This window comes from Homo sapiens, chromosome 3 (genome assembly GCF_000001405.40).
Source record: "Homo sapiens chromosome 3, GRCh38.p14 Primary Assembly".
Taxonomy (NCBI): domain Eukaryota; kingdom Metazoa; phylum Chordata; class Mammalia; order Primates; family Hominidae; genus Homo; species Homo sapiens.
In genome coordinates this window covers 185216028-185238079 of record NC_000003.12, presented here as the reverse complement: position 1 = coordinate 185238079, position 22052 = coordinate 185216028, and the positions used below count along the sequence as shown (strand labels likewise).

At 39.1% G+C, this 22052-nt stretch overlaps 1 protein-coding gene across 4 annotated transcripts in view; it reads left to right on the top strand.

The window, feature by feature from the left end:
• EHHADH (enoyl-CoA hydratase and 3-hydroxyacyl CoA dehydrogenase) overlaps positions 1-22052 on the top strand; it is a 63426-nt gene that overhangs the window by 15970 nt on the left and 25404 nt on the right. For 2 of the 4 annotated variants that reach the window (NM_001966.4, NM_001166415.2), the window contains exons 3-5: positions 2618-2790; positions 8537-8648; positions 19840-19944. In NM_001966.4, coding sequence (NP_001957.2) covers positions 2618-2790; positions 8537-8648; positions 19840-19944 — 390 coding nt within the window. Of the gene's footprint in view, positions 1-2617; positions 2791-8536; positions 8649-11221; positions 11253-19839; positions 19945-22052 lie in introns of those variants that run through there. The other 2 variants (XM_047447640.1, XM_047447641.1) reach the window with 2 other exon arrangements.

Here is a 22052-nt window from a genome sequence, read left to right as displayed (position 1 = left end):
ATCCTAAGTAAAATAACTCAGAAATAGAAAATCAAATACCGCATATTCTCACTTATAAGTGGGAGCTATTATGAAGGAATAATTGTCAGGGAAAAAAAGGGGGAGCTAAACAATGGGAACACATGGACATACAGAGGGAAGTAATAGACATAGGGACCTTCAAAAGGGCAAGGAGGTTGGGGTGAGGGTTGAAAAGTTACCAAGTGGTACAATGTTCACCGTTTGGGTGATAGGCACACCAAAAACCCAGACTTCACCATTATGCAATATATCTGTGTAACAAACCTGTACATGTACCCCCCGAATCTATAAAAATAATTTTAAATAATCTTAGTGTACTGTGAAGCTGAATCTAACAACATATAAAAAGCATAATATATCACTTTTGTCCTAGGAATATCAGATTGGTTGAACACTAGATTAATGAAATTCATCCCATTAAAAGATTAAAAAGAAAAATTATATGATTATGTCGAGATGTAGAAAAAGCATTCTATAACATTTGACGTGCATTAAGAAGAAACATTCTTAGTAAATGAGGTACAAAAAGAAAATGCCTTAATCAGGCAAAAGGTATCCATTTTGAAAAATCTACAGGAAACAAACAAAATGGCGAATTGAAAGCTTTCCTTATGAGAAAGGAACAAGACAAAGCTGACTGCTCTCACTATTTCTTTTGACATTGTATTCAAGGTTCTTGATAAACCAGTAAAGCTAGTAAAAGAAACAAAAGATATAAGGAATGAAAAAGAAGAAACAAAACTTCATTATTCAGAAGATACAATAATGTTTGTAGAAAAATCAAAATAATCTATTAAAAAATTGTTAGAATTAATAAGAAAATTTAGCAGTTTTGCTGGGTATAAAAATCAATATCCCAATATTAATTAGATTTTGATGTGCTGGAAATAATTAAAAAGTGAAATCACTACACTGTTTGTGCTTTGGTTTTTCAGAAACTGGGATAATAATCATACTAACCTTATGCTGTAAGTAGAAGAATATAGTATAGCTTTTAAGAATGTGGGGTTTGTAGTCAAATTGCCTAAGTTTAAATCCCTATTCTACCAGTTATTAGTCATATGTCTGAAGTAGTCACTTGTCTCAAAGCATTAACTTCCTTACCTGTAAAATGGGAATTGTTATGCTGCTTAACTTAGGTGTTATGAAAATTAAATGACACAGTATATGAAACTGCTTAGCACAGTGCTTGATGCATTTATCCAATAATTGTTCATTTCTGTTATTATCTAAAAAACTATCTCAATCTAAAGCTACAGGAATGATAGGCTTGAGACTTGGATTGAAATTGATCTTGTTTCTCTAGAACCAAAAGGAATTGAAAACACGAAACAAAACACTGGACTAGAGAGTGAAATATAATGAATTGGTGAGAAAAAAGCTTAACTCCTGGATTGATGCTAGATGAGGAACAGGTAGCAAAAAGGGAAAAAAAGATGAATAGGCTAGATATAAAATAATTAATTTTTAAAACTTGTACCAAGCTTAGTGTTTTCAAAGAATAGATAATGCTGTAGGAAAAAGCTTACTATGTATAATGTTATATGAAAACAGGAAAATATAAAAATGATTTTATGGTATGCTCTAAATCAGCTGTCCTCAACCTTTTTGGTACCAGGGACTGGTTTCATGGAAGACAGTTTTTCCATGGACAGGGGTAGTGGGTGGGGGTGCAGGCCTGGGAGGGTGGGGGGGCAGGGATTGTTTTGGGATGAAACTGTTCCACCTCAGATCATCAGGCATTAGATTCTCATAAGGAGAGCGCAACCTAGATCCCTCACTTGTGCAGTTCACAATAGGGTTCACGCTCCTGTGAGAATCTAATGCCGCTACTGATCTGACAGAAGGCAGAGCTCAGGTTGTAATGCTCGCTCACACATGTGGAAAAAAACTAAGAACTCCTCAAAATATTAAATTATGGCTATATAGTGATATTTAGGGTGATCTTCATGTTCTTTTTAATTTTGCGTGGTTTTCAAATTTTCCATAATACATGTTATTTTTATAATCAGGAAAAGCAATAAATATTATTTTTATTGAAGATAAAAATCTATTACAAAAACATAATTCTAAGCTGCTTGATTAACATATAACTCATAAATATGTATACATGTTACCCTGATATTTTATATTGTGATGACTCATGCCCTTAACAAAGATATGGAGCTAAGTTGCTGTGAATAGACTTGATTAACAGTATCACACATACAAAAATGAGAGGGGCTGACTCAATCTCAGAATAATGATCTTTGGAGGAGAGTCCCTATTCCCCTTTTCTGAGATTTTTAATTTTTTTAAATATAGACTTACTACTTATTATATGGAAAGATAGATTTTAGAAAATTACAGAATTCCTGGTAAAGATTCAAGGATTTTCTCTCATAGCATTCTACATTCTCCAATATACTTGTTTTCAGCCAAGGATGAAGTGTAAGGGCCCAAAGAGGTCTGAGACTTTAGTCATCAGGAACTCTAAAAAAAATTAAGAAATAAATAAAACAAATTAATTTTTTAAAGAGTATCAGGTAACTTACTGTTATATAACAATGCCCATGTATTTCTCAACTCTGTTTTCTCCTTGTCTTTGTGCCCTTAGGTGCTGATATTCGTGGCTTCAGTGCTCCTAGGACATTTGGCCTTACACTGGGACATGTAGTAGATGAAATACAGAGAAATGAGAAGCCCGTGGTGGCAGCAATCCAAGGCATGGCTTTCGGAGGGGGACTAGAGCTGGCCCTGGGCTGTCACTATAGGATTGCCCACGCAGAGGTAACAACCAAGGCTCTATATAGTGGCTGGTGTGTGGGGCTTTTCTTTAGGGCAAACTCTAAATGTAGTCATAAGTATCAGCGGTGATTATTTTATTTATTTGTTTTTTTGAGATGGAGTCTCACTCTGTCTTCCAGGCTGGAGTGCAGTGGTGTGATCTCGGCTCACTGCAACCTCCACCTCCCGAGTTCAAGCAATTCTCCTTCCTCAGCCTCCCAAGAAGCTGGGACTACAGGCATGCTACCATGCCCAGCAAATTTTTGTATTTTTAGTAGAGACGGGGTTTCACCATGTTGGCCAGGCTGGTCTCAAACTCCTGACCTCAGGTGACCACCCACCTTGGCTTCCCAAAGTGCTGGGATTACAGGCATGAGCCACTGCACCCGGCCCAGAGGTGATAATTTTGAATGGTTAGCTTACTGGTTAACGACTTCAGCTGTTACGTGCCAGTACAGTGGTACTAATTGTTAAAATGTTCAAATACTTCACTTCCATTCTGGTAAGTAAACACCTGCTACTCTGAGCCCTAGTTTCCCTTGTTTCCCTTAACCTTAGCCCTAGGGCCTCTCTATGATCCATCAACTACAGGGGAACTCCTTGTTTCCCTTAACCTTAGCCCTAGGGCCTCTCTATGATCTTGTTTCCCTTAACCTTAGCCCTAGGGCCTCTCTCTGATCCATCAGCTACAGGGGAACTCCTTGTTTCCCTTAACCTTAGCCCTAGGGCCTCTCTATGATCTTGTTTCCCTTAACCTTAGCCCTAGGGCCTCTCTCTGATCCATCAGCTACAGGGGAACTCCTGAGTCAATAGAGAGCCCCGAGACTCTACCTCCAGTACTATGACCCATATCAGGTTTCACTGATGCAGTGCTCATGCAGTATGAGTATTAAATATGTTGGCTGTCACTTCTAAGTATACATTTAAATACTTCTTTGATAACTCAAAGATTTCTGTTTCATGGTCCCTTATAATTATCAGTACCTAATAAGACAAATTTCTATTGGAAAATAGCACAAAACTAGTAAATATGGGGAAATTTCTGGAAATAGGTTTAATTTAGGCTGTTAGACATGTCAGATGAGGTCTGTGATACCACTGTGTATCACAGTATATATAATGGTGGCATTTTTGTAATTAATATATTTTTCTAATGATGAAAATAATATTCATTCTACTAAACTAGAGAACATAAGAAAGTATACAGATGTAAACTAAAATCATCATAAACTCACAGTTCAGAAATAACCACTATTAACATTCTATTTCATTCTAGTCTTTTTTTGTATGTAATTTTTTCTTACAGATTCTTTTTCCTTTGAAAAATGTCCTTTAAAAAAAAGTACATTGGCTGGGCATGGTGGCTCATGCCTGTAATCCCAGCACTTTGGGAGGCCGAGGCAGGCAGATCACAAAGTCAGGAGATCGAGACCATCCTGGCCAACATGATGAAACCCCGTCTCTACTAAAAATACAAAAATTAGCTGGGCATGCTGGCAGGCGCCTGTAATCCCAGCTACTCGGGAGGCTGAGGCAGGAGAATCACTTGAACCTGGAAGGTGGAGGTTGCAGTAAGCTGAGATCGTGCCACTGCACTCCAGCCTGGTGACAGAGCGGGTCTCCATCTCAAAACAAACAACAACAAAAAAAACCACATTTGGGCTTTTTTTGTATTTAGTTTATACTCTATTTTTATACTATAATATTTAACCCATAATTAAATATTCTTTATTCTGCCAATCTCTGTCTTTTAATTAGAGAACTTAATACACTTATATTTAATGTAATTACTGATAAGGAAGAACATCTGCCATTTTGCTATTTGTTTTCTATGCTTTTTGGTTTTTTTGTTCAATTCCTCCATTACTGCTTTCATTTGTGTTAAATGTAAAAGTATACCCTTGTAACTTTCTTGCTGTTTCTTTTACTATATATATTTTTAGTTATTTTCTTAATGGTGGTTAACTTGGTGATTACAATTAACATCTTAATTTATGACAATGTAGTTCAGATTAATACTGACTGAATTTTAATAATATACAAAAAATTTGCTCCTCTGTAGCCTCCATTACTTGCCCCTTTATGCTATTATTGTCACAAGTTATATCTTCATACATTATGTACTGCTTAACATAGATTTATCATTGTTGCTTTACATAGTGGTCCTAAATCAGATAAGAAAAAGAGGAATTACAAATGAAAAATACATTATTACTGTCTTTTATATTTACCCATGAAGTTACTCTTTATCAGTGTTCTTTATTTCTTCATGTGAATTCAAGTTACTGTCTAGTGCCTTTTCATTACAGCCTGAAGTATTTCTTATAGGGCAAATATACTAACAACAAAATCAGTTTTTCTTTATCTGGAAATGTGTTAATTTTGCCTTCATTTTCAAAAGATAGTTTTGTTGGATATAGAATTCTTGATTGACAGTTGTTTTCTTTTGGCACTTTGTGTATGTTATTTCATGCCTTCTGGCCTCTGTGGCTGAGGAGAAATCATGTTACTCTTCTGGTAAATATTCTTTAAAAATATCATTATAGGCCAAGAACAGTGGCTCACGCCTGTAATCCCAGCACTTTGGGAGGCCAAGGCAGGCGGATCACCTGAGGTCAGGAGTTCAAGACCAGCCTGACCAACATGGAGAAATCCCGCCTCTACTAAAAATACAAAATTAGCTGGGCGTGGTAGCACATGCCTGTAATCCCAGCTACTTGGGAGGCTGAGGCAGGAGAATCACTTGAACCCAGGAGACGGAGGTTGCAGTGAGCCGAGATCGCACCATTGCACTCCAGCCTGGGCAACAAGAGCTAAACTCTGTCTCAAAAAAAAGAAAAAAAATCATTATAAGTGGCGGCATAATATTCAATCATATGGCTATACCAGAATTTATTTAACCATTTCCCAATGGTGTTTTAATTTTTATAAATGCTTACAAATAAATACACATATATGTCCTAAGTGCTCCTTTTCTGTGTCCCTCTTACCACAACCTGTACCCTGAGTGCAGATCTGAGTTACTAGCAATAAGTAAAGAGGTAGAGATGGGCAGTGATGGAAAGAATGGTGATTGACTGTTAGGAAAACCTCATGTAAGACAGGCCTCACATATGTGAGGTATTTTGGAACTGCTAGAATCACGATCTGGGTAAATGGCAGTCCGCATTTAAGTACCCTCCTCTCACCCTTATACCTGTAAATGGCTAACAGATCCTCAGCCACTTTTAAATGGAATGGGCCAAGAAAGGCAATAAAATAAAGGACTCAAGCTCCCCTTCTTGTCTGGACTGAGATTACTGTCTGACTTTAAAAAAAAAAAATAGCCTTTTGGAGATGTAATTTAAATACCATACAATTCATTCATTTAAAGTGTGCAATTCAATGGTATATGAGTATATTCTCAGAGTTGTGCAACCATTATCACAGTAAATTTTAGAACATTTTATCACCCCAAAAAGAAACCTTGTATCCTGTAGCAGTAATCCTCCATCACCTTCTGCTATCCTAAGCACCTACTAATCTACTTTCTGTCTCTATAGATTTGCCTATTCTGGATATTTCATATAAACAGAATCATACAATATGTGGTCTCCTGTGACTGGCTTTTTTTGTTTAGCATGTTTTGCCTATTCTGGATATTTCATATAAACAGAATCATACGATATGTGGTCTCCTGTGACTGGCTTTTTTTGTTTATCATGTTTTGCCTATTCTGGATATTTCATATAAACAGAATCATATGATATGTGGTCTCCTGTGACTGGCTTTTTTTGTTTATCATGTTTTGCCTATTCTGGATATTTCATATAAACAGAATCATATGATATGTGGTCTCCTGTGACTGGCTTTTTTTGTTTATCATGTTTTGCCTATTCTGGATATTTCATATAAACAGAATCATATGATATGTGGTCTCCTGTGACTGGCTTTTTTTGTTTATCATGTTTTGCCTATTCTGGATATTTCATATAAACAGAATCATATGATATGTGGTCTCCTGTGACTGGCTTTTTTTGTTTATCATGTTTTGCCTATTCTGGATATTTCATATAAACAGAATCATATGATATGTGGTCTCCTGTGACTGGCTTTTTTTGTTTATCATGTTTTGCCTATTCTGGATATTTCATATAAACAGAATCATATGATATGTGGTCTCCTGTGACTGGCTTTTTTTGTTTATCATGTTTTGCCTATTCTGGATATTTCATATAAACAGAATCATATGATATGTGGTCTCCTGTGACTGGCTTTTTTTGTTTATCATGTTTTGCCTATTCTGGATATTTCATATAAACAGAATCATATGATATGTGGTCTCCTGTGACTGGCTTTTTTTGTTTATCATGTTTTGCCTATTCTGGATATTTCATATAAACAGAATCATACGATATGTGGTCTCCTGTGACTGGCTTTTTTTGTTTATCATGTTTTGCCTATTCTGGATATTTCATATAAACAGAATCATATGATATGTGGTCTCCTGTGACTGGCTTTTTTTGTTTATCATGTTTTGCCTATTCTGGATATTTCATATAAACAGAATCATATGATATGTGGTCTCCTGTGACTGGCTTTTTTTGTTTATCATGTTTTGCCTATTCTGGATATTTCATATAAACAGAATCATACGATATGTGGTCTCCTGTGACTGGCTTTTTTTGTTTAGCATGTTTTGCCTATTCTGGATATTTCATATAAACAGAATCATATGATATGTGGTCTCCTGTGACTGGCTTTTTTTGTTTAGCATGTTTTCAATGTTCATCCACGTTGTAGCATGAATCAGTTCTTTATTGATTTTGCTGAATAATATTCCATTGTATGGATGTACTACCTTTCATTTATCCACTAATCATTGATGGACATTTGGGTTGCTTCTACTTTTTTGGCTTTTATGAACCATGGTGCCATGAAAATCTGTATACAGGATTTTTGTGGGCATATGTTTTCATTTCTCTTGGGTATATACCCAGGAATGGATTTGATGGGTCATATGGTAACTCTATGTTTAACATTTAAGAAGCTGCCAGATTGTTTTCCAAAGTGTCTACTCTGTTTTATATTCCCACTAGCAATGTATGAGGATTCTGTATTCTCCATATCCTCTCCAACACCTGTTATTGTCTGTCGTTTTTTAAATAGCCATCTTAGTGGGTATAAAGTGTTACCTTGTGGTTTTGATTTGTATTCCTCTGATGGCTAATGATGTTGAGCATCTTTTCAAGTGCTTACTGGCCATTTGTATCTCTTCTTTGGAGGAATGTCTATCCAGATCGTTTGCCCATTTTTAACAGGTTGCTTGTCTTTTATTATTGATTTGTAAAGTTCTTTATATATTCTAGATAGAAATCCTATATCAGATATATAATTTGTAAGATATGTATATTCTCTCCCATTCTGTGGGTTGTCTTTTCACTTTCTTGTGTTTCCTGATTCTTGCAGGACTCCAGAAAGTTGTTTCCAGAGAAAATTATTTTTGTTGGCTGAGACAGGTCATATTACAGTCAGAGAATAAATGTGTAAGAAGCTAAAAATGTGTTTCAACATGAAGAGTTAGGGACAGCACAGCTCTGTTTATGCTGTTAATTAAAGAAAAGGATGTGCACTAATTTGCCCTGTAGAAATCTTGCTGAATTCAGTGACACCATGCTTTTGAGAATACAGGAAATCCAGGGAAACGCTTGCCTTAACTCTGAACATACCATCTCATGCTAATGGCCTTTATGCCTTCAATCTTTGATAGGCTCAAGTTGGCTTACCAGAAGTTACACTGGGACTTCTCCCTGGTGCAAGAGGAACCCAGCTTCTCCCCAGACTCACTGGAGTTCCTGCTGCACTTGACTTAATTACCTCAGGTCAGTATAGACCTTGGCAACAACTGTCTAGATTAGTGTGAAGAATTGGACTAGGATTTAGAAAAATTCTGGCTTGACCACCTACTCCCTATGTAACCATAAAAGGATTCTTGAACTTCTTGGCCTCTCGATTTTCTGATCTGTAATATGGAGAACTACCTTTCTGAGCTTCTCAAACGTTATCGTGAAGATCAAATGTGAGAGCCTTTTAAATGAAAGTGCATGCAAAGAGCGAATCAAATTTAGGATTTTATTTCAGTTCAAGTGACTATTCATCAACACTGGTGTTCACATAGACTGCATTATATTCAGAACTAATTTAGAAATTGTAATATAGGCCGCACGCAGTGGCTCATGCCTGTAATCCCAGCACTTTGGGAGGCCGAGATGGGCAGATCACTTGAGGTCAGGAGTTGGAAACCAGCATGGTGAAACCCCATCTCTATTAAAATACAAAAAAATTACCTGGGCATGGTGGCAGGCACCTGTAATCCCAGCTACTCGGGAGACTGAGGCAGGAGAATCGCTTGAACCCAGGAAGCGGAGGTTGCGGTGAGCTGAGACTACGCCACTGCACTCCAGCCTGGGCAACAGAGCGAGACTCATCTAAAAAAAAATTGTAATATAAATGAGAAAACCATAATTTTCAAGGTATGTTTTCAAATTTTAATATGAAAATGACTAAATTTTTCACTGGCAAGTATTAAGATATCAGCTAGAAATGCAAGTTGTTCTTTTTATTTTCTTTTTTTTGAGACGGAGTTTCGCTCTTGTAGCCCAGGCTGGAGTGCAGTGGCATGATCTCGGCTCACGGCAACCTCCACCTCCCGGGTTCAAGTGATTCTCCTGCCTCAGCCTCCCAAGTAGCTGGGATTACAGGCATGTGCTACCATGCCCAGCTAATTTTGTACTTTTAGTAGAGACGGGGTTTCTCCATGTTTGTCAGGCTGGTCTCAAACTCCCTACCTCAGGTGATCCACCTGCCTTGGCCTCCCAAAAGTGCTGGGATTACAGGTGTGAGCCACCACATCCGGCCAGCCCGGTGCTTTATAAGTTGTTCTTTCTCAATAGAGAATGTGAACACTACAACACTAGACCACATTTAGAGACCCTGGATTTACTCTCTTTCTCTCTCTCTCTCTCTCTCTCTCCATATATATATATATATATATATTTTTTTTTTTTTTTTTTTTTTTTTGAGACGGAGTCTCACTCTATCGCCAGGCTGGAATGCAGTGGAGTGATCTCTGCTCAGTGCAACCTCCGCCTCCTGGGTTCAAGTGATTCTCCTGCCTCAGGTTTACCATATATTTGTTTGTAAGACATTAAAGAGACTTTCAGTTGAGGTCAATTTAGAAGAAAGAACATATGCAACAATACACTTCAAACAGATATAACTAATAATAAGAATTTAGGTCAGTCATCTTACTTTTTTGTGCCTTATTTTCTTTATAAATGTAGCTAGGAATAGCACCTACTATAGGGTGATGTGGCGAAAATCGGATAAGTTACTGCGTACAATGTCCTTAGGACAGCCCCACACATGGTGATCACTCCATAATTGTTAGATATATATTATTATTATTTATTAATAATTTCTTTCTTGAGATGGAGTTTTGCTCTAGTTGCCCAGGCTGGAGTGCAATGGCGCGATCTCAACTCACCACAACCTCCGCCTCCCAGGTTCAAGCGATTCTCCTGCCTCAGCCTCCCAAGTAGCTGGGATTACAGGCATGCACCTCCACACCTGGCTAATTTTTGTATTTTTAGTAGAGACAGGGTTTCTCCATGTTGGTCAGGCTTGTCTCGAACTCCTCACCTCAGGTGATCTGCCTGCCTCGGCCTCCCAAAGTGCTGGGATTACAGGTGTGAGCCACTGGGCCTGACCTATTTTTTTTTGAGACCGAGTTTCACTCTTGTTGCCCAGACGGGGATGCAATGCTGCGATCTCAGCTCACCGCAACCTCTGCCTCCTGAGTTCACGCAATTCTCCTGCCTCAGCCTCCCAAGTAGCTGGGATTACAGGCATGCACCACCACGCCCAGCTAATTTTGTATTTTTAGTAGAGTCGGGGTTTCTCCATGTTGGTCAGGCTGGTCTGGAACTACCAACCTCAGGTGATCCGCCTGCCTTGGCCCCCCAAAGTGCTGGGATTACAGGCGTGAGCTGCTGCGCCCAGCCAGGTATATATTATTATACCCAAAGATCTGTCTTTTTTAGTAAAAGAGGAAAATTGAAGAAAAGTGAGATGAAGATCTTGGTATTAGACTATATGCTGAAGAACAGGCCATAAAAAGAGCACAAGCTTTAGAATCAAAGACCTGGCTTTGAATCCCAACTCTACCACATATAAATAATATGCCTTGTGCAACTTAATTTTTATTTATTCATCCAGCAATTATTAATTTTCTCTCATATGCTGGGCCCTTTTCTAGGCATTAGGCCTATAGCAGTGAAATGAACCAACAAAAATTTCTGCCTTCATGGAGATTGTATGAAGAACAGAACAATAATCACAACAATAATCATCATTGTCATATTTCATTAATTCAAAAATGTCCTTTTCCCCACAGCTTTCAAAGTGAGATGACTCTCAGATTCATTGTAAGTCATGGTTTAATTTACAGTTTTTTCCTAGTTTCTGTGTTAGGAATTTGGGAGCAGCTTACTTGGGATATAGCTCAGGGTTTGTCATGAGATCGGAGTCAAGACACTGTGACTAGGGCTGTAGTCATCTGGAGGATCTACTTTCTTTCTTTCTTTCTTTTTTTTTTTTTTTTTGGAGATGGAGTTTCACTCTTGTCACCCAGGCTGGAGTGCAGTGGCACAATCTTGGCTCACTGTAACTTCCATCTCCTGGGTTCAAGTGATTCTCCTGCCTCAGCCTCCTGAGTAACTGGGATTACAGAAATGCGCCACCATGCCCGGCTAATTTTTGTATTATTAGTAGAGACAGGGTTTCACCATGTTGGCCAGGCTGGTCTTGAACTCCTGACCACAGGTGATCCACCTGCCTCAGCCTCCCAAAGTGCTGGGATTACAGGCGTGAGCCACTGTGCCCGGCCTGGAGGATCTACTTTCAAGATGACCCAGTCACATGGATGACTAGATGGTGCTGACCTTGGCAGGAGGCTTCCTTTCCTATGTACGGGGACCTCTCCATAGAGCTTCCTGAGTATTCACACAGTGTGACAGCTCGCTTCCTCCAGAAAGACACCACAGTGTCTTTTATGACCTACCGTTAGAGTCACATGCCATCTTTTCTAAACTCTCCTATTGGCTATGCAGGTCTTCTCTATTCAGTATGGGAAGAAGCTTGAATACCAAGTGGTTAGACTTGCTGGGGGTCACTTTGGAGACTAGCCACCACAACTGTATGCACACACATATGCCTACCTATTATATAATTTAGATAGATAGATAGATATAGACAGGTGGAGATAAGTGCTAAGAAAACACAAAACAGAAAGGGAGAGATATAAAATGTTAGGAATGGGAGGTGAATTAATATTTCAGGTAGGGTAGCTAGAAAAGGTTTCTCTACAAAATGACATCTGAGTAAAGACCTGAAGAAGGTAAGGAAGCTTGTTATGCCAATATCTGGAGGAAGAAATCCCACATACAGAAAATAGCAAGTACAAAGACCTGAGGCAGGGACATGCTTGGAATGTTCAAAGAACAGCAAGAAGGTCAATGTAACTGGAATGAAATGAGTCAGGGGAAAAGTAGTAAGAGGATGAAGTCATATCTTTTTGGGCTTGGAAGGTTATAGAAAGAACTTTGGCTTTTCTTGTGAATGAGGAAGAAAGGCATTGGAGTGTTTCAAGCAGAGGAGTAACATGCTCTCACTTAGGTTTTTCAAACAATCACTCTGGCTGTTGAAAATATACTAATTGGAGACAAGGACAAAAACAGGAAGACTGAGGGCTGCTATCATAATCCAAGGGAGAGATGATGGGGGCTTGGATCTGAGTAGTGGCAATGTAAATCATAAGATATGGTCAGATTCTGGAGATATTTTGAAAGTAGAGCCAACAGGATTTTGTGACAGAGCAGATACGAGATGTGAGAGAAAGAGGAGAGTCAAGGATGATCTAATGGCCAGAGTGAGTAGCTGGAAGGATGGTGCCATCACTAAGACTGGGATTTCTGCTGATAGAGCAGGTTTTATGGAAGTATCACAAGAGCTTCATTTGGGACATGTTAAGTTTGAGAGGCCTGTTACACATCCAAGTGGAGATGTCAAATAGACAATTGGATAGACAGGCCTGGGGTTTAGGAGAGAGAGGTCTTCTGAACTCCTCTAAGCCTCTGTTTTCTCATCAGTAAACAACCACATGGTTGTTTTAAGGAATAATGAAATAACATGACATGCTTCTGATATAGTGCCTGTTAAACAGACCACATTTCATAAACGGTATCTGGCCCCCAAAGATGTCCACGTCCTAATTCCCAGAACCTGTGAATATATTATGTTACATTCAAAATAACCTTTGTACGTGTGATTACATTAAAGATCTTGAGAGGGAGATTACCCTGGACTATCTAGCTCAGCCCATTTTATCACAAGAGTCCTTATAAGAGGGAAGCAGAAGGTCAGAGAAGAGAGAAGACACTATGTGCTGGCTTTGAAGATGGCAGGAGAGGTCACAAGCCAAGTAATGTAAGCAGCTTCTAGAAGTGGAAAAGACAAGGAAAACATTCTTTCTTACAGCATCCAGAAGGAACACCTTCTGCTGACCTGTTTTAGACTTTTGACATCTTAAACTATAAGATAGTAAATGTGTGTTTTAAGCCTCTGAGTTTGTGGTAATTTGTTACAGCAGTAATACACTACTAATACAAAAGCTATTAGTAATCACGATATTCAGAATCCTGCTTTGGTTTGGAAAATATTTTTTTCTTTCTTTTTTTTTTTTTTTTTTTTTTTGGTGACAGGGTCTCATTCTGTCTCCCAGACTGGAGTACAGTGGCACGATCTCAGCTCACCACAACCTCCACCTCCCGGGTTCAAGTGATTCTCCTGCTTCAGCCTCTCCAGTAGCTGGGATTACAGGCACGTGCCACCACACCCGGCTAATTTTTTGTATTTTTAGTAGAGACAAGGTTTCACCATGTTGACCAGGCTGGTCTCAAACCGCCGACCTCAAGTGAGCCACCCGCCTCGGCCTCCCAAAGTGCTGGGATTACAGGTGTGAGCCACTGCGCCCGGCCGAAATTTTTTTTTTTCTAAGAAAGGGTGTTAAAGAAAAAGATTAGTTAAATTGTGAAAGTTGAAGATTCCCTACTGATGTGAATGAGGAAAAAAAGTGCCAACTTTGTAGGCACTGTTCCCATAGGAAATTAATAAGTAAATAGATTTAGGTGGCTAACCCTTTCTGATCTTCTGAAATCCATAAGACAGGTAATTCTGGAAAGTAGAGTGATTACAACAGCAACCTTCTCCACAATTTCCTTAGAATGCCGTCTGAAAATGAACGAATCTTTAGCAGTAACCACAAAGGATATGCCTGATCATATTGCAGTTCGTTCGCTGATGTTCTCTGTCCAATCAACTGACAGGACTACAGTGTCCTGCTCCTCTTTCTGTTTTATTTTCTAGGTGCTGTCCCCTTTGTTCACAGAAAAGCATAGAAAGCTCTGCTGTATTCTCATAAAGCTTGGCCCCAGCCCTGATGAGTTTCTCTATACTCATTCACAGGACAGGCTTTGAGCTCTAGACTTTGGTGGGATACCTCTTACTACCCAGAATACTATGGGGGGAAAGAGGAATTGGGAGTAACATCTTTATCCTGCCTGCCTTTTAGCTGTAGGTCCAGGTGGGTTTTCGCTATACATTTTTTAGTACTAGCACCTCAAGGCTCTCAGGCAGAAATAATTAATATCAGCAAATATTGTTCTATGACCAAAAGAAAGACACACAAAAATTCTTAAAACTAAAACAACTGCAACTCTAAAACCTATGAAAATATTTTATGACTTAAAAAAAAAGAAACATAAACGTCAGTCTGCTGAAACATTAAAGAAAACAAAAAATTTTAGAAAACTCACATTATTCTAAACTAGAAAAGAAAATATTTTGTTAAATAAGAACACCGTATTTAAAATCAAAACCTTAGCCAAAATAATTTCTTTTTGAAGCAATAAAAAGATGTGGTAGGATAGATTACAGAATCAACAACATAGAGGATAAAAAGAGACACATCTAAAGAATTCAGAAGAATTTAACAAAAAGATAAATAAAATGTAAATGAAGATAGCAGACATGGAAGATACATAACAGAGGTCTCTGCTTTGAATAATACGTGCTCCCAAAGCACAAGGCAAAAAAAATGAAAGCAATAACCAAAAGAAAAAATAGAAGAAATTCTTCAGACATTAAATAGCATCAGAGATTGTACTTTAACAAGCATGCCATTTTCCTGGAAAAACTGATGAGGAGATAATTCTTTGATGTGTCTTGGTAAAGATTTTAAACTTCCAGAAAATAGAATCCTGCAAGCTTCCCCAGGATAAAAACAAATAAAACGAAAGGTTACTTTCAAAGGAACTAAAATTATACCAGCCACAAGTAAATGCTGTGGAATATTCACATGCTAGGATGCTATGTAATATTTATGAAGAATGATGATCTAAATCTCAGGGTTCTTAAAGTGTGGTCCAGGGACTCTCGGGTGTGGCCTAAGACCTTTACAGAGTCCTTGAGATCAGATCTATTTTCGTAATAATAAGACATTACTTGCCTTTCTCACAAATGTGTAGTGGAATTTTCCAGAGACTGTAATATGCCTTGTGATATCACAACAGATTGAATGCAGAAGCAATAGGAGAATGAGAATGCAGCTGTCTTCTGTTAAATCAGACAGTAAATAAATTTGCAAAAATATAAAACAATTGCACTCTTCTCCCTAATTTTTAAATTTTTTATATAATTATTTTGCATAAAAACATTATGCTAACATGCAGTGAGTTTATTATTTTAAAATGAACTAATAAAGAAACATTTTTAAAGCTTGCAGTGATTTTTCTTTTTTTATTTTTATTTTTCTGAGATGGTATCTCCCACTGTCACCCAGGCTGGAGTGCAGTGGCACGATCTCGGCTCACTGCAGCCTCCGCCTCCCAGGTTCAAGTAGTTATCCTGCTTCAGCCTCCCAAGTAGCTGGGTCCACAGGCTCGTGGCACACCCAGCCAATGTTTGTATTTTTAGTAGAAACAGGGGGCGGGGGGCACCATGTTGGCCAGGCTGGTCTCAAACTCCTGACCTCAGGTGATCCTCCTGCCTTGGCCTCCCAAAGTGCTGGGATTACAGGTGTGAGCCACCACATCCGGCCTTGTGATTTCTACACCCAGACAAAAGCTTGCAGTTTTAATTTCTAATACAGTAAATATTGATATATATAACCTACATAAACACAAGCTTTTTGGAGTTCTCCATAATTTTTAAGAGTGCAAAGGGGTCCTAAGACCCGTTTGATAACTGCTAGTAGAAATCCGTATAGAAACCATGATATAAAATTGTGTATACATTAGCCAAATTAGAAAATAATGTGAGGCGGGCCGGGCACGGTGGCTCATGCCTGTAATCCCAGCACTTTCAGAGTCCAAGGCAGGTGGATCACCTAAGGTCAGGAATTTGATACCAGCCTGGTCAACATGGTGAAACCTCATCTCCACTAAAAATACAAAAAAGTAGCCGGGGGTGGTGGCATGGGCCTGTAGTACCAACTACTCGAGAGACTGAGGCAGGAAAATCGCTTGAACCCAGGAAGCAGAGGTTGCAGTGAGCCGAGATTGCGCCACTGCACTCCAGCCTGGGTGACAGTGAGACTCCATCTCAAAAAAAAAAAAAAAGAAAAAAAAATATCATGAGGCTATATGCATTAAAAATGGATTTTTCCTTTAAATGGGGGGATGATTTTATAAATCTGTAGTGTATAAAAGGAGAGTTAGACCAGAAATATGACATTTATTTCCTTCAATAAATCAAGTTAGATAGTTTTAATTTATAATGGTATAATAAATACAGTTTAAAGAATGTGAACTATTTTAAGTATGTAATGTCAAATTCATAAAAGGATGCTTAGGATCCAACATACTACAGGATTCAAAGCACATGAGACAATTTATTGTGCAAAAGACAAAATAGGAAGCAAAGAAGCCTAAAATATAGGAGGAAATCATAATAGTGTAAAATGAGTCTGTAAATTTGAGGGTTTACAGATACTTAAAGTATATGGGGGAATATTGAATAATTTTGTTGCCCTATTTGCAGTATTGCCTGAAACCAAGATTATTGGAAGAAATCAGGAAAACTGGCTTTGACAAAAAGAAATAAAATGAACTAGGATTGGCCTTTTCCCAAAGCACTGCTTAAAGAAACATCACTATTTTTAACATGCAGAAAAGAGGTAAAAACAGTAAGAATATGATGGGGTTTTGATTTGCATAGAAAAGGTCATAGTGAATTAGAAGAAAGCTAACATTAGAATTATACACCTGTCTTTTTAAGTAGTCTGCACAATTTTAGGAAAACTTGAATATGACATTTGGAAAGAGTTCCATGTGGAAAAAAATTGTAAAGGTTAGAAAAGAAGCTATCAAGAAAATTGGAAAAAATTGAGATTACTCAGGTTGGAGAAGAAACTCTCAACCTCAGTTCCCTTAGGGCACACAGGGTTCTTATTAGAGCCCATTGGACAGTGGTTGTCATCTACACTTACGATGTCATAAGAAAAAACAATTTTAAATTACAGCCTAAGAATCTGGATTGGATATACAGAGCCATGTCTTTAGATCCTTAGTTCTTTGATACAGGATAAAAGTCCAGCTATGCATCATTGAACAACGAGATATATTCTGAGAAATCATTAGGCGAGTTTGTTGTTATGTGACCATCATGGTTTACTTACACAAACCTAGATGGTATAGCCTATTACACACCTAGGCTATATGGTATGGCCTCTTGTTCCTAGGCTACAAACCTGTGCAGCATGTTACTGTACTGAATACTGTAGGCATTTGTAACACAATGGAAAGTATTTATGTATCTAAACACATCTAACATAGAAAAGGTACAGTAAATATATGATATCGTAATCATATGGGACCACCATCATATATGTGTTGTTGACAGAAATGTTATTATATGGCATATGACTGTACTTGGAATCCCATTGACTCTGTTAGAATAGTAGTGGTACTCTTCCAATTTTGTGAAATCCAAGCCAGAAGAAATCATTACAGCTAGAGAAATTTTTAGTCTATCTGGGAGTAGCTCACATTCTCCCTGCTTAGTTGACCTCAAAATCCTTTTATAATAATATCCAGGTTTCCATGTCCCATTTTGTGTTTGCTTGGTTCCCTTAACCTGGGTAGGCTGATTCACTCTCTCCTTACCAAAGTGATTTTATACACAGGATACTTATGTACAGAAACCATTTATGTACCTCTTACCCTACTCCTTACTCCAGAAGGAGATCTGAAAGCCTGTTTTCAGAGATACTTCCAGAAAACTGCCCAAATACTGCTTTTCAAAGAGAGACCTACCAAAAAAAAATCACTGAACTTTCTATCCAATCAAGAAAACTCATTTGTAGTTCTCTGAAGCAATAATAAGAACCAGGAATGGAGGGTTTGTCTCCGATGGCATCCACCAACACTGTAAGTGCAGTGAAGACTGTGGGACTGTTGCCACCAAGATGGATTTGATGGTTGCTTTTCAGAAGGCAAGATGGTACTGGCAAGAAAGCAAGCGATGTGTCACTGTCTTCTTCCTTCTGACCCTGGGGTAGGGGATGCTGATGTCCCCTACCTCTTACCTCAGAATATGCAGATCAAATTGCATATTTACAACTGGTGAAGAACTGTCAAGGCAAATTTAGGAACGGTGCAAACCCTCATCAAACTTCTATATCTCCTATTGCTGACATTCTGTACTGGAGGATGCCAATGGCATGATTGGATGCTAAGTATACCAGCACCACCACTGCCAGACACTAGATATTGGCACCTGTGAAATGAGATTTAACCTGTCGCTGCTGCTTAGTGTCACTAACTCCAAGCTAAAAACCCTCAACAGAGCACTCAGTTCACTAACTGGGGTCATGGGCCACACTCCAGCTGCCACAGTCAAATTGTCAATTGTCTAATCATCTGTGTCCTTTTCAGCTTCTGTAGTAGAAGGCAGGGCTTCAAAGCTCACACAATAGCAATTCCACAAACTAAGGGAGGAGCTGAGATGCTGGGTAGCCAAAAACTGGCAGAAATCCATCCCATTTGTCCTAGGTAATTTTAATTATACCTTATAGAATGTCAACTTAATTTTTTTCTCATTGAGTTAACTATATTTATGTCTGGGGACTATCTTTTTTTTAAATTTTCTCTCTCTCTCTTTTTCTTTGTTTTTGGAGATGGAGTCTATCTCTTTTGCCCAGGCTGGAGTGCAGTGGTGTGATCTCAGCCCACTGTAATCTCCACCTCCTGGGTTCAAGCGATTCTCCTGCCTCAGCCTCCTGAGTAGCTGGGATTACAGGTGCCCACTACCATGCCCAGTTAATTTTTGTATTTGTAGTAGAGACAGGGTTTCACCATGTTGGCCAGGCTGGTCTCGAACTCCTGACCTCAGGTGATCCACCCGCCTTGGCCTCCCAAAGTGCTGGGATTACAGGCGTGAGCCACCGTGCCCGGTCCTTTTTTTTTTTTAACCATCCACAGCCAATGGGGTGTGCTAGGGATAAGGTAGATACTATATATTACTCTGCTGCTGCTACTTCTATTATTATTATAAAAAACTAAACATCTCACATTTCTATAGAGATCTGTAGTTCATAAAGTACTTCTATAGAGATTTATAGAATATAAAGAGAATCTGTTATTCTCACTTAATACTCAGAATTACTGAGATAAGCATAATTATTGCCATTTGCCAATGAGGAAATTGTGGTCCTGGTGCAGTTCTTCATGGTCACACAAATAGTGGAAACTAGAGCTGGAGCTTGAATCCAAGTTTCCTGGTTACCTCAGTGGTGATCTTTCTATTCTTTCAGTGAGTGTGGTTCTTACTTATTTTATTCAATAATAGATATTTATATCCAGACAGACAGCCTTTCCTACTAGAGAGAGTAATGCTTTTGCTTTAATCTTACATCGCTCTTTGATTTGTTGTTATTGTTGTTGTTGTTTATTTCAGGAAGACGTATTTTAGCAGATGAAGCACTCAAGCTGGGCATTCTAGATAAAGTTGTAAACTCAGACCCGGTTGAAGAAGCAATCAGATTTGCTCAGAGAGTTTCAGGTAAGAAGATAATAATAAAAATAGCCAAAGACTGTAAACAGGATACATGTTCATTTAAATAAGAAACTCCTGGCCGGGCGCAGTGGCTCACGCCTGTAATCCCAGCACTCTGGGAGTCCGAGGTGGGCGGATCACGAGGTCAGGAGATCGAGACCATCCTGGCTAACACGGTGAAACCCCGTGTCTACTAAAAAATACAAAAAATTAGCCGGGCGTGGTGGCGGGCGCCTGTAATCCCAGCTACTCGGGAGGCTGAGGCAGGAGAATGGCGTGAACCCGGGAGGCGGAGCTTGCAGTGAGCCGAGATCGCGCCACTGCACTCCATCCTGGGCGACAGAACGAGACTCCGTCTCGAGAAAAAAAAAAAAAAGAAAATCCTGAGGCTGGGTAATTTATAAAGAAAAAAAGATTTAATTGGCTTACAGTTCCGCAGGTTGTACAAGCATGGTACCAGCATGTGCTCAGCTTCTGGTGAGGTCTCAGAGCTTTTACCCGTGGTTGAACGTGAAGCAGGAATAGGCACGTCATATGGCAAGAGAGCAAGAGAGAAGTGTGGAGGTCCCAAACTCTTTTTTTTTTTTTTTTTTTCTGAGACAGAGTCCCGCTCTGTTGCCCAGGCTGGAGTGCAGTGGCGCGATCTTGGCTCACCACAACCTCTGCCTCCTGGGTTCAAGTGATTCTCTTGCCTCAGCAGCCCAAGTAGCTGGGAATACAGGCGTCCGCCCACCATGCCCCGCTAATTATTGTATTTTTAGTAGAGACGGGGTTTCACTATGTTTGCCAGGCTCATCTCGAACTCCTGACCTCGTGATCTGCCTGCCTCGACCTCCCAAAGTGCTGGGATTACAGGCATGAGCCACCGCGCCTGGCCCCAAACTCTTCTAAACAAGCTGATCTCTCATCAACTAAGTGAAAGCTCTCTTATCACCAAGGGGATGGTACTAAACCGTTCCTGAGGGATCAGCTCCCATGACCCAGTAACCTCCCACCAGGCTCCCACCTCAAACACTGGGGACCACATTTCAACATGAGATTTGGAGCGGACACACATCTAAACCATATCACAGGCTCTATAATTTACCGCAGTAAAACTGTGGGCCTTGAGAACTTCTGTCTCCGCAAACTGAGTTATGTCCTTCTCTCAGTGGTTTCTTACTTTATGGACTCGGGATGTTCCTTTCAGAGTTCTTTCAGTGGCACTCACAGAGGTTTTTTTGTTTGTTTCACAGTTTCTTTTCAGTCTATGGATGTTGTCATCTTTAAATGAGCAAGATGGAGAGGGTAAAAATAGCCAGAAAAAAATAATTGGGAAGAGTATTGCGTTACAGGCAGAACAGAGTGCTGGTCTCCCGCTTGGTGGCAGGCAATGGCCCAGTGTCATTCAAAGGCATTCTTTTGAAGGAGTCATTCTTTTGTTGACCTTGGCAGAGACCAAACACTTTCCTGAAATAATCTTTCTTTTTTGTGGCTCTAGCCAGTTACTGTTTCAATGTGAAAGTAAAAGCTTGAACTGGAGAGGGGAGGAACGATGGGGAGAAAATAATGGAGACCCCTAAAGAGAATCAGCAAGTCCTTGCCCAAATAGAAATAAATTTCCTACTATTTTTCTCGGCCTTTCAGGCAACCTTCACTGTGTTTTCATCATTGTGCTTCCCGAGGGGGCTTATTGTTTTGTTAGAAGTCACTTGACAGACACACAGCAAAGGCTATTTGCATTTGGAGGTCCCGAAATGATTCTTTGGTTTGCTAAAGGTAGACCCGTGTCTGTCATTCACATCTGTAGTTTTAGTTTGTAAAGGTCTCAATTTCAACAGGAAGTTCTTTTCCTTAAGTGATTTCCCTAGATTCTGATTTGAGAATTAAGTTACTTCAAGAAATAGTTGAGGTTCATGATCTAGGAGACCTGGATCCAGGTCTCAACCTTAGCTACATTTCTAAAATGGTCTGGTTATAACTTTAATTTATTCACAATTTAAAATTAATTGTAAACATTAAATTAAGCATTTTTACTTTATAAAACTTACAAAATAGTGTTTCATCTCAACGACATTATACAGTTTGTCCACTTGGTGGCATCCAAATATTGAGGCACCATTTGCTTTAAACCT